General features: G+C 47.8%; 1 protein-coding gene across 3 annotated transcripts in view, besides 1 other annotated feature; it reads left to right on the forward strand.

Annotated features, from left to right (window-relative positions):
* The window catches only part of SHISA6 (shisa family member 6), a 322,851-nt gene that overhangs the window by 249,170 nt on the left and 60,960 nt on the right, over positions 1-12,721 (forward strand). The window lies entirely within an intron of this gene.
* Positions 3,444-3,981: an enhancer, noted in NCBI's record as "NANOG-H3K4me1 hESC enhancer chr17:11397143-11397680 (GRCh37/hg19 assembly coordinates)". NCBI's record gives its function as "activates a minimal SCP1, AML or CMV promoter by ChIP-STARR-seq in naive H9 embryonic stem cells {active_cell/tissue: H9 hESC(naive)}" and the evidence as "EXISTENCE:reporter gene assay evidence [ECO:0000049][PMID:30033119]".

A 12,721-nucleotide genomic window follows, 5' to 3' on the forward strand; every position in this document is an offset into this window, starting at 1 on the left:
GACATGGAGACAAAGGGGACAGAATTCTCCTGCCGATGAAACAGGAGGTGTTTGGAATGAGAAGAGCATTCCAGGTCACCGAGCAGGGAGGAATGAGGCCTCCCTGATGCCTTTGCAAGCTTCAGGGAGTGCGATTTTAATGTGAGTCTAATTAAGTCAGAAGCAGTTCCCATTATTCACACTCTGCTCCAGCGGTCTCTGAGCCCACATGCGCTACTACGTTCTGGAGAAGTGCAGCCGGTGGTGACTTCGGATCCATATTCACTGCAGGAAGGAGGAAGGGCAGGCTGGCTCCCAGCCGTGGTGGTCAGACCTGAGCCAGAGGCCTTCCTTGGTGTTTCTGGTCTTGTTTCCTCCAGATTGTGTGTAAAGGGAGGGGTGTGTGTTGAAAGGAGTCCCTGTATGGGGCTAAGAGGCCCAGGGAGGAATGCTCATCTATAGGAGATGTTGAAGTTTAATGACCTTTTGCCCATCTGACTGATGACTCAATGAAGAGAAAGGGTCTTTCCAGGGGCTTTGTGAGGAATGCAGCAAGCCCTATCTGGGCCATGCCCAGGGCCAACAGGGCAAGCACAGATCTAGGAGGCAAATTCAGGGCTCTTGCCCAATCTCAGCCTCCCTGACCACAGAAGGAGGAAATGAGACCCTTCAATAGCCGGAGTTCCTTTGGAGCCCCTTCAGCCCAGTGTCAGTGTCGGGTTAGGGGCATCTCCAACGTCAAGATTCTCTAGAAGAAGTCTGGACTAGGGGCCAGGGAAGTGGGGTTTCTGTAGGGCAGGCCCAGCTCTGTAACTCACTGAATGACCTGGAGGGGAGTCATATTGTCAACAGAACGGACCAGGAAAGCATTCATGGAAATAATGGCCTCGAGCAGGGATTTTGCCAATAAGAGTTGGGTCTAGAGAGGGAAAGAATTTTTTTTTAAGAGACAAGGTTTCTCTCTGTTACCTAGGCTGTAATGCAGTGGGCGGTGGGAGGGACAATCACGGCCCACTGCAGCCTTCAACTCACAGGTTCAAGCAATCCTCTTGCCTCAGCTTCCCAAGTAGCTGGGACTACAAGCGAGTGTCACCATGCCAGCTAACTTTTTTAATTTTTGTGGAGACGGGGGTCTCACTATGTTGTTACCCAGGCTGGTCTCGAACTCCTGGCCTCAAGCCATCCTCCCACCTCAGCCACCCAAGCATCTGTGGAAAGAATTTCAAGTAAATGGAACTAGGAGGAAAGCAGCCCCAGAGGTATCCCTTTAGGTTGGACTATGGAGGAGTAATGGACAAAAGGCCTGGAAGAGCCCATTGAGGCCATATGCATAGGGACTTAAATACCAACTCAGAAATTAGAAAATTTGGTCCAGTGTGTTGTGTACTGAAAGGGAAGCTGGTGAAGTGTTTTTTTTTTTTTTTTTTTGAGACAGAGTCTCCCTCTGTCGCCCAGGCTGGAGTGCAATGGTGCGATCTCTGCTAACTACAACCTCCACCTCCCGAGTTCAAGCAATTCTCCTGCCTCAGCCTCCTGAGTAGCTGGGATTACAGGCATGCACCACCACACCCAGCAAGTTTTGTATTTTTAGTAGAGACAGGGTTTCTCCATGTTGGTCAGGATGGTCTCGATCTCTTGACCTCATGATCCACCCTCCTTGGCCTCCCAAAGTGCTGGGATTACAGGCGTGAGCCACCATGCCCAGCCGCTGGTGAAGGTTTTTGAAAAGTGAAGTGTGATGTGAGCAGAGTCTTGGGTGGAATGCGGTGGGGGAGGAGTCTCCTGTTGGATCTTTATGTTCCTCTTGAGCTTTCCAGGAACACCCAGTCAAAGAAGGATGAGGAGGATGAAGTGCTAAAAGGCCACAGAGGGTTGAGGGTACAGGCTCCAAAATATTCAGCCTCTTAGTGTTCAATCTAGGCTCAATAGCATCAGTAGTTACAACAGCTTTAAGCTGAATGAACCCTAACCCTGACTCATAAAGACCACTATTGCATTGACCAGCAAGCTACCCAAGCCTTGGTGATTCGGTAGAGAATGGGCTGGTTTAGAAATCATACTGACTTGAGTTTAAGTCTCAGCTCTCCTTTTACCAGCAGTCAATATTTACTATGTGTAAATCATTTAATTTCTCTAAGCCCCCAATTTTATGAATGTTGTCAATCATAAAATTAGGATGATGATGGATTCTTCTCAAGGTTGTTGTAGGGAGTAAATGCATGAAAGTGTCTTACACATCATGGTGCATGGTGAGGGCTCAGTGAACACTTATGTCTCCTCTCTACCCCTTCCTCCTTGCACGCACTACTGTGTGCATCAAGTGTTGGCATCCTGATGGTAGGTTAAGGCAACTGCAACCTCCTCCCTGAAGCCCAGTGCCCTGCATGCACCACTCCTGAACTCAGACCCTAGCACAGGCTCTCTTCATGCTCAAGAAGTCTTAGGGTTCCCAAGCCCCAATCCCCACTTCTCCTCCCTCTCATCATGTTGCTTGTTTACTGTCCCACACAGTACACTTTCTTCACAGGCTTCTGCTCCTCTCTTCCCCTCCCCTGTCCCACAGTCTGTCTGTCCTGCCAGCCTGGATCACAGAATCTCAGCGTCAGTAGCAAGGGAACTTGGAGATTGGCCATTTGTCACTAGGTGTCTTCTTGCAGGTGGGGAACCATTCCCTGATCGCCTCAACACTAACATTTATCCAACTTTTCCATGGAGATAAGGAATGTTCTGGCTAATGTTTTGGCTAATGATTGCTGTGAGTCCAGAGGACCTCCCTCATTTATATAGCAGGACCACCTCCTGACAACTGTGACCACTTAGCCAAATAGGACTCCTAAAAGGAAATAATGCAACTCCTTTTTTTTTCTTTTCTTTTTTTCTGTTTGAGACAGAGTCTCGCTCTGTCACCCAGGCTGGAGTGCAGTGGTGCCATCTCAGCTCACTGCAGTATCCACCACGGAGTTCAAGCAATTCTCCTGCCTCAGTCTCTGGAGTAGCTGGGATTACAGGTGCATGCCACCACGCTCAGCTAATTTTTGTATTTTTAGTAGAGACAGGGTTTCATTATGTTGGTCAGGCTGGTCTCGAACTCCTGATGTCAAGTAATCCGCCCACCTCGACCTCCCAAAGCTCTGGGATTACAGGCATGAGCCACTGTGCCAGGCCAATAATGCAACTCCTACTTGTTTTTTGGTACCATGTGGATACACGCGTGCGCGCGCACACACACACACACATACACACACCATCTACCAAAACCTTTGTGAGTCTCCTCTGGACCCTTCAGCAGAGTTGCCAGGCCCAAGGGGTACCGTATACAAGGCATCAAAGAACGAGAGCCATTTGGGGATTCCCAGCCTCAGCAACCTCAGAGCCCCTGGGCTTCTCTTCCAACTCTACAGAGCTGACAAGGGTAGGGGTCTCCTTGGAAACCCTGGCATTTTGACTCCTGTCGGATGGATAGAATGGAAAAGGAAATGTTTTGTGTACAATTTGTACACGCACAAAGTCATTTTAAAATGAAAACTCTAACTAAATTCTGTTCTCCCTTCTATTTTTTTTTTGACTTGTTCTTTCTTTATACTAATCTCTCATTTGAGTCAAAAATTATTTCACTGGAGAGGTGGTGATTAAATCTGATAATTAGGAGAAATACCAATTAAGTCAGGCTCTGCAAGCATAAGGCAGTCCTCATTCACATTGTTATTTGAGACTGTGGCTTAGCAGGGGGCTTCTGTGTCTTCCCAGCAGGCTCCCAGTCCATATGCTCAGCAGGACTCAGGGACTTATCTCAGGCAGAGCCAAACAGGGATAGGAGCAGAGGGTTTTCCTCCCCACCCCAGCTTCCCTGATAGCCCCCTCATCCCTGCCACTCTCTTCCTATTTCATTAGCATCCCCTGCCTTAAAGACTCTCATCTGCCCCAGCTCTCCTCTGCTGTTAATGTCCTTGGCCCAGACCTCTTCCCACATGTGGCTTGCTGCCCGAACCTAGCCCTCCATTCCCTGGTCTCTGTTTTCTGAATTGTTTGTTACTTATCACCTAGGGTGCTCAGAGGTGTAATGTGCTATTATATTAGCTAAAAGTGAATGTCCTCCGCAGTGCACCTCTGCACACCCACAGAACTTCCAGTGAACAGGGAGCCTCAGAAAGGGATTGTGAAAACAGTTGCACCAAGTCTAGGGACCTCTTGCATTAGAACTCCTAGGGTTAATTCCCCAAAATAACAGGGAGTTTATCTGGAATAGAGTGAAAACATAACAGAACTGAGGAAAGATAGGGCTTTAAAATTAGGCTGGAGCCATCAGGGGAAAGCTCTTGGCTGCCAGGCTGAGGAGTTTCTGCTTATTTTGGAAGGAAATTGTTGGAGGGACATGGACAAAGCTACCCAGGTGATGGGTTAACCCGGTGACAGTGCCAGGCTCGATTCCTCAGGTGGAGCAGTTCTCAATGTTGGCTGTGCATTAGAATCGCCTGGGAAGCTTTTAAAATTCAGTTCCCAGGTTGAATCCTGGACCAATTACATCAAAATGTCTGGAGTCGGGAGCCAGCCATTAATATTGTTCAAACTGCCCATCACAGTACAGCCAAACAGGACCACGAGCCTGAGGATGACCTACCTCCTGATGACAATGGCCGACCAGGCTACATCCGCCCAGTCATGTGGGGTTTCCTGAGACATGGGACTTCCAGGGCAAAAACCAGGAAAGGCCTGAGCAAGGTGGAATAAGCTGATCATCCTGCCCCAGTAGATTTCTCAGAGCTCTATCTGGGATAGACCCAAACCTCGGGGTGAAAGCATCTTGCCCACTGCCAACTCTTTGGTGTCTATTCATCAAACAGCCTGAGCCCTAGAGTTGGAGAGACCCAGGCTCCACTACGTAGCTGCTGTGTGACTTTGGGCAAGCTGACTGCTCCACCTAGCACTGCTCTGTTTTTTCCTCTCTCCTTCCTTCTCACCTTTCCTGGGGTTCATAGACTAAGCTGCATTTGTGGGCTGTGTTCTCTAGCATGGGGGCCAGATGAAAACAAGTCCACAGAAGCCAAAAGAACTGGGGACACTGGACAGGTGACCAGGGGAGAGGGAGGGAAGAGGAGGCCAGCCCATGCAGAGGGGCATGGCTGGCCCAGGTGTGCTCTGAGCACACATGTGCTCCTTCTGTTTGTTGCAATGCTGGCTGGCAGAATTTTGCAAAGACAAGCCCTGTGTCCAGGGTTTCTTTCAAGGTTCCTCTTAGGGTGGCTGCCTACCAGTCCATCCCCTAGATATGTCCCAGCCTGGCAGTGACATGAAAACAGTCAGACTGCAAGGATGCAAGGCATCTTCCTGCTGTTCCTGAAACAGGCCGGCCACCCTGCCATCCCTCTGAGAACTAAGTGGGCGTGCTAGCTCATATATTATGGGCTAACATTCTGTAGGTCCCCTTAGTTTCAAACCATCAGGGAGTTGATTTATCTATGGAATGTGTAACAGTTGTGCTGTTTTGGCTGCAGGCCAGACTTCTAAATCACACAGTTAGAAGCTGAGGGAAAGAAGCGTCAATTATCCAGGCTGTCTGCATCTGGAGAAGTCCCAAAATGACCTCTCCCAGAGCAGTTCTTTCTTGTCTGGCCCATCCTTCTATTTATCCATTCATCCATCCATCCATCCATCCATCCATCCATCCATCCATCACACAACAGATTAATGATGGCCTACTCTGTACCAGACACAATACGGTGCCTGCTGTCTTAGTACCCAGAGTCTACTTGCAACTACACTTGAGATTTGCCAGGTGTAATCTCCTAGGAACCAGTGGGGCCTCCCCATTAGTCAAACAAGGGTGTCCAACCTGGTGAGATTTCCAGGTCCACAGGAGAGTGTTCATTCTCTCACATGGTTTTCCTCCAACCAATTTTCTGCCTCCCAAAACTTCTTTAACACCCTTCCATCCACCACAGGTGAGACTTCAAAGCAAACTCTCCAAGTGCTGCCATCTTGATTAAAATTTACTGTAGGCTAAAAATAACACGGTGGGCTGAAAGAGATGTTAGAAACTGTGAAGCTTAGGGTTTACAGTGCCTACAAGGGCTAGGCATAGAACGGGATAGAAGTGGGGGCCGGGTACGGTGGCTCACGCCTGTAATCCCAACACTTTGGGAGGCTGAGGCGGGTGAATCACGAGGTCAGGAGTTCGAGACCAGCCTGGCCAACATGGTGAAACCCCATCTCTACTAAAAATACAAAAAATTAGCTGGGCCTGGTGGCAGGCGCCTGTAATCCCAGCTACTCGGGAGGCTGAGGCAGGAGAATCACTTGAACCTGGGAGGCGGAGGTTGCAGTGAGCCAAGATCGCGCCACTGCAATCTAGCCCAGGTGACAGTGCGAGACTCCATCTCAAAAAAAAAGAAAAAAAAAAAAAAGAATGGGATAGAAGTGGGATAGGTAGGAAACAATGAGAAGTGGTGGGCACTGTGGCAAACTGGAAAGCACGGCCCCAGCTAAAGGAGCCAATTATTGAGATTCCTGCAAACATTTCCATGTGGGAATGCAGATCCTATGTGACTACATTTTTTCATTTTTCAAGAGAAGATAGGAATCCAGATTTCACACAGATTTTCCCAAGTTTTAAAACAATGGCAGCCAAAGAAATCCCTTTGCAGACCAGATTCAGTTTGCATGCTGCCTCCCATAAGTTTGGACACTGAGCTACACACTGTAGTGGGGGGACCCCCAGAACCATGTCCTGGGCCCCTGTAGATTCTCTCCTGAGGACCAGCTCTGCTAGGAGACACCCTGAAGCCTTGACCTGGGGAAAGGAGAAGACAAGACAGTGTCATGGGCCAAATAAATGGATGAGGAATGAGGAACCTGCAATCATGGGGGACCAGCCTGGCTTGTGTTCTGAGATTGCTTCTAGAAATTCTGGTGTCTCCGCTATCATTTTCAAGTGCCGTGATTTTCATCAAACCTGGGGGAGGGAAGGGAAGTGATCTGATTTATGGGTTAAAATAATCACTCTGACTGCTGTGAGGAGAAAGAGGGGCTGTGGCAGGATCCAGTTGAAAACGGGAGGACCACTGAATAGACTACTACAACCATCCAAGCACAAGACACTGGCTGTGGTTAAAGGGCATCAGTCATGGGGTCTGAGACCGTGTTGAGAATGAGAAAGGCCTCCCTCCTCGACACTTTAGACGAATGTTCTTGAACACAGCAATGAGAAATGCCACTTCAGGGATCAATCATACCCTAGCAAACATTTGTTCAAAATCTTTTCCTTGACCCCAAAGCTGGCCATAAATTGTCACCAGTCTTGTTTCCCACAACCTTGGGCTCTCCATACATGGGTTAAGCTTCTCACTCCTCATAAGATCTTTCCAGCAGCCACCTTTATTTCCATTCCTTCTGCCTCTAAGGGCTTCCTCCTGGCCTTCTCTGTCTCTCGCATCCTACGACATCCATTCCTCAATACTGGCTCAGACACCTCCTCACCCCCCAGGCTTGCAGAGCACTCCATTTGAGTTGTTAAAGCCCATTCCTCTCTTGCTGATTGACAGTACAAGTCATGGCTATACCTACTCCTGGCTTGGAGGTGAGACCTTGAGAGCAGGTATTGGGTTCTCTTTCTTTATATATTCATCCCCCAGCTCCCAGTAAGTGCTTAATAAATACAGTGTTTTTGGAAGAAAGAGAAGAAAGGAGTGGGAACTGGGGGAATGTTAATTAGTTCTAGCTTAGAAGCTCATTGCTCTTCCTCTTCCTGTTTTCTTCCTACCTCAATAGAATCCACAGGTGGGAGATACTGGGGAAGCAGAGGCTCTCAGGATAAACAGGGATGTTGTCTCCATGATTAAGACTCAGTTCAAGGGAAAGTCCTTTGTAGAGTGTTCACTCCTGATGTATCTTGCACCTTCCCTGAGCTAGTCCTTCCTCCTCCTCCATCCCCAAACATCTTGGACACATCCATATCCTACTGATCTCACACTCAGAATCATTGGTATGAGTATCTGTCTTCCTGAGGACAGAGCTTGAATCTGTCTTCTAAGATGTCCTTTAAGAGAGAAGGGAAGTAAAGAGTTACATCGAAGGAATATGAACTAGTGTTCAATAATACAGTGGGGTGACTATAGTTAATAATTTGTTGTACAGTTCAAAATAACTGGAGGAGAGGAATTGGAATGTTCCCAACATAAAAAGGGGCTGAATGTTTAAGGGGATGGACATCCCAATTGCCCTGGTTTGATCATTACACATTATGTCCATGTATCCAAATACCACATGTAACCCTCAAATATGGGCAACTGTTATATATCAATAAACAATAATAATAAAAAGAAGGGAAGTAAAGAGAAGAGAAGAAGGGGGCGGATAGGAGGAGAAGGGAAGGGCTTGGACTGTGGAGCCAGAAAGACCTGGGCTGGACTAGCAGCTCAAACGTGTAATAAAGGCTGTGGACTTGTAGGACCTACTATCCTTCTCTGAGCCTGTATCCCCATAACAACGAAGGATTTGCTTGATGATTTGGTGAGGTGATGGATAGAAAGTGCTTAGCACACAGTGCCTGGCATAGAGTCCTCACTCAGTAAGTGTTTGTTTTTGCTACTTTATTGTCATTATTATTATTAAAAGGGAAAGAGCGAGGCAGAGGTGGAAGCTGCAGTCACACCACCTTGCTGTGACAAGGGCACCTTATGAGCCTTCAGAGATTGGGCTGGGCTGCACCCTCAGCACGTGGACTGGCTTCTAAGGATGCATGATGAGCACCCAGCCCACTGAAGCTTAGCTTCTGAAAAGAAGGGCAAGGATGCAAGCCCTAGAACTACCCTGGGGCAGGAAGTTCACCAGGGCCAGAATTCAGTGCCTCACTGAATTGGGAGAGGCAAGATCTGACACTGAGATGACGGGGTGGCAGTGGCATTGCTGTCCAAGAAGCATCTTCCCTCCTCATGCAAGGCTAGCATTGAGCAGAATGACGCCACTTGGGGAGTGGACTATAAAGCACCATTATCCCCTTTCAGGACGTTTTATCCTCTATGAAGCACCTCTTCATGGAACCTCACAAACACACACACAACCTCTGCTTTCTTCCCCCACCTGTCCCACCTAAGTCTCCCATCTCAAGCCAGTGACAGGCTCCAAATATCTCTCTTCCTTAGCAAAACAACTCCCAGCTAGTTAGCACTTTAGAATAGGCTACTTTATGCTAAAGTGTTAATGGATACTAAGACTTCATGTACACTCACTCATTCAGAACTTTAATAGGGGAGCAATGCTTTACATTAGTCCCTCTTTTTTGTTTTTTATTTCTTTTAAGTAATTTGAAATCTATTCTTTTTCTTTCTTTTTTTTTTTTTTTTTGTTGTTGTTGTTGTTGTTTGAGACAGAGTCTCACTCTGTTGCCCAGGCTGGAATGCACTGGTGCAATCTCAGCTCACTGCAACCTCCGCCTTCCAGGTTCAAGTGATTCTCCTGCCTCAGCCTTCTGAGTGGCTAAGATTACAGGTGTGTGCCACCACACCCAGCTAATTTTTGTATTCCTAGTAAAGATGGGGTTTCACCTTATTACCCAGGCTGATCTCAAATTCCTGGCCTCAAGTGATCCACCTGCCTTGGCCTCCCAAACTGCTGGAATTACAGGTATGAGCCATCGTGCCTGGCCTTGTCCCTCTTAAATAATGGCTATGAGCATCAGCCTGTGGAGCCTGAGACCAAAGCAGACAGTTGGGCAGGGACCCAGGCAGAGGCCAGAGATGAGAAAAGACATGGAGTGAAGAGAATTCAGACGGGCACACCCTGGCCAAGGGAATCTGACCTCCTGCCATATGTATGCACTCCTTCCCTGCTGCTCTCCATCCTCAGTCTCCTCACAGATTGCATTCTGATATGGCCTGGAAGCCCCTTCTCACTTACGGGAGGTGTCAGAAGAGGCAGTTTGGAAAAGCAGCGTCGTGGTGCCCCAGAATGTTTAGAGATGGAAGCCAGATTATGAGGTTGCACAACTCCAATGATGCCCTTCCCATTGCAGTCTCTGTAAATGGTGCCACCTGCCTGCAAAAGTGCTGTGCATGGCCTGTGTACTCATATAAAGCTGCCCTGGATGGAAGAGGTCTTGGAATACTGGTCAACTTCTCAATTTTGTAGGTGAGGAAACTGAGGCGCAGGAGTGAACTGACTTGCTCAAGGTTCCATGGTAGTGTCAAGTGGGGACCTCCAGTCCAGGCCACGTTTTAAACCATAGTTTTCCTGGTTTGTTCAAAAGGCCAAGATACATCCATAGAGAAAGCAATCTCCGCTAACAAATACGGTAGCCACTAGGAACATGTGGCTGTTTAAATTTAAATTAATTCAAATGAAATCCCATTAAAAATTCATTTTCTGAGTTGCATCAGCCACATTTTGAGTAGTCAGTAGCTACCTGTGGTTGGTGGCTGGTGTGTTGCAATTCCCATCATCTCAGAAAGTGCTATTGGACATAGATGGATTATGGATTATACTTGGGTCTACAGGGAAACTGGAAGGCAAGGCAGAAAGGTTGTTTTTTCCCAAAGCATAGTGTGCCAGGTACTGTGGTAAGCACTTTGCATGTAGGACCCCATTCAGTCTTTACAAGTGCTGTAAGTGGTGTCATGAGTCCCTTCTTACACATGAAACTGCAGCTCAGCAAAACTAAGCAACTTGCCATGAATACATAGCCTGTAAGTGGACTTGAACTCAGATCTGTTTGACTTCAGAGGCCAGGTGCTTAATTATTAATCTCTAATGCTTCCAACACATTTTTTTTTTTTTTGAGATGGAGTTTTGCTCTTGTTGCCGAGGCTGGAGTGCAATGGCACAATCTCAGCTCCCTGCAACCTCCGCCTCCCAGGTTCAAGCAATTCTCCTGCCTCAGCCTCCGGAGTAGCTGGGATTACAGGTATCCGCCACCACGCCCAGCTAATTTTGTATTTTTAGTAGAGATGGGGTTTCACCATGTTGGTCAGGCTGGTCACGAACTCCTGACCTCAGGTGATCCACCCGCCTCAGCCTCCCAAAGTGCTGGGATTACAGGTGTCCAACAAATTTTTAAAAGTATATAGACCAAAGTGCTGCTGGAGAGCCAAGCAAACAGATGCTATTTTCAAGACAACAAAGATTATGAAGTGGCTAAAACCAATTACAGGAATTAAGGAGGTTTTTTTAGTACTAGAAGAAAAGACCAAGGCATGACTTAATCCCATTTCTAGGAATGGGAGGCTGCTGGGCAGGCAGTTGGGCCTCCATAGGTGCTAGAGGCCAGCAATGAGAAAAGACATGGAGCGATGAGAATTCAGATGGCCACAAAGTGGTGCTTCTTGAGCATGGGCAACAGAGAAGACAGAGAGAGAGAGAGACAGAGAGAGAAAGAGAGATATGAGTGCTGCCACCCAGAGATATTTAGAGAAAAAGAGCCTCCGGTGACACACTCCCCAGGGTGCCAGTGGTACCCTGCCTGCAGATAGACAAGGACAAGAGAGCTCTTGTTCTCTCTCCTAATATAGTGGAAAAGGAGAGAAAAGGGCAGGAGAGATGGACAGAGATGGTGGAGGTATTACTGTATCCTCTGGCAAATGCTTTGCTAGGAAGGGGACAATTCCTTGATAACAAATTCCTTTGTTTTTCCCTTTTTCAACTTTGGGTTTATTTGAGGTTCCTCTACCTGGGCTTTAGGAACAAAGAGAAAGGCTGAAATGTTTGAAACTCATACCCACAGAAATTCAGTCTAACCACACTGCCATATACCATTGCAGAGGGTTAAGACTAAAAACAGGCCGGGCGCGGTGGCTCACGCCTGTAATCCCAGCACTTTGGGAGGCCGAGGCGGGCGGATCACGAGGTCAGGAGATCGAGACCATCCTGGCTAACACGGTGAAACCCCGTCTCTACTAAAAATACAAAAAATTAGCCGGGCGTGGTAGCGGGCGCCTGTAGTCCCAGCTACTCGGGAGGCTGAGGCAGGAGAATGGCGTGAACCCGGGAGGCGGAGCTTGCAGTGAGCTGAGATCGCGCCACTGGACTCCAGCCTGGGCGACAGAGCGAGACTCCGTCTCAAAAAAAAAAAAAAAAAAAAAAAAGACTAAAAACATCGGCCAGGTGCAGTGGCTCACAGCCGTAATCCCAGCACTTTGGGAGGCCGAGACAGGTGGATCACTTAGATCAGGAGTTTGAGACCAGCCTGACCAACAAGGTGAAACCCCTTCTCTACTAAAAGTAAAAAAATTAGCCACGCATGGTGGTGTGTGCCTGTAATCCCAGCTACTCGGGAGGCTGGGGCAGGAGAATCGCTTGAACCCAGGAGGCAGAGGTTGCAGTGAGCTGAGATCGTGCCATCGCACTCCAGCCTGGATGACAGAGCGAGACTCCGTCTCAAAAAAATAAATAAATAATAAAAAATATCCTGTTTGGCAGGCACTGGGTGGGGTTCCGGGGTTGGCAAAGCAAATGCAATGTCATGCTCACCTTTGTATGCAGTAGTTTACTCTTGATTCTCAGAAGTCTGCCATGAACAGAACAGTAGGCAGCCTTTTTGGATGGGTTTGGGCACAGAGCTGGGTCTCAAGCTGTCTAATTCCTTGATTAATTTCAGGGTCGGGTCTTTGGAGATTACTGTGGGGTAGGGGTAGAAGGATGGTTGGAAAACTGGATTACCTTTGATCAACCATGTACTTTTTCTTTTATTTCTCCTTCAGAAAAAGATGCTAGTAAAACTCACCTGAATTTCCCTCTGTAAGAGCTGCAAGGGTTC

Source organism: Homo sapiens, chromosome 17 (assembly GCF_000001405.40).
Source record: "Homo sapiens chromosome 17, GRCh38.p14 Primary Assembly".
In the NCBI taxonomy this organism is placed as follows: Eukaryota; Metazoa; Chordata; class Mammalia; order Primates; family Hominidae; genus Homo; species Homo sapiens.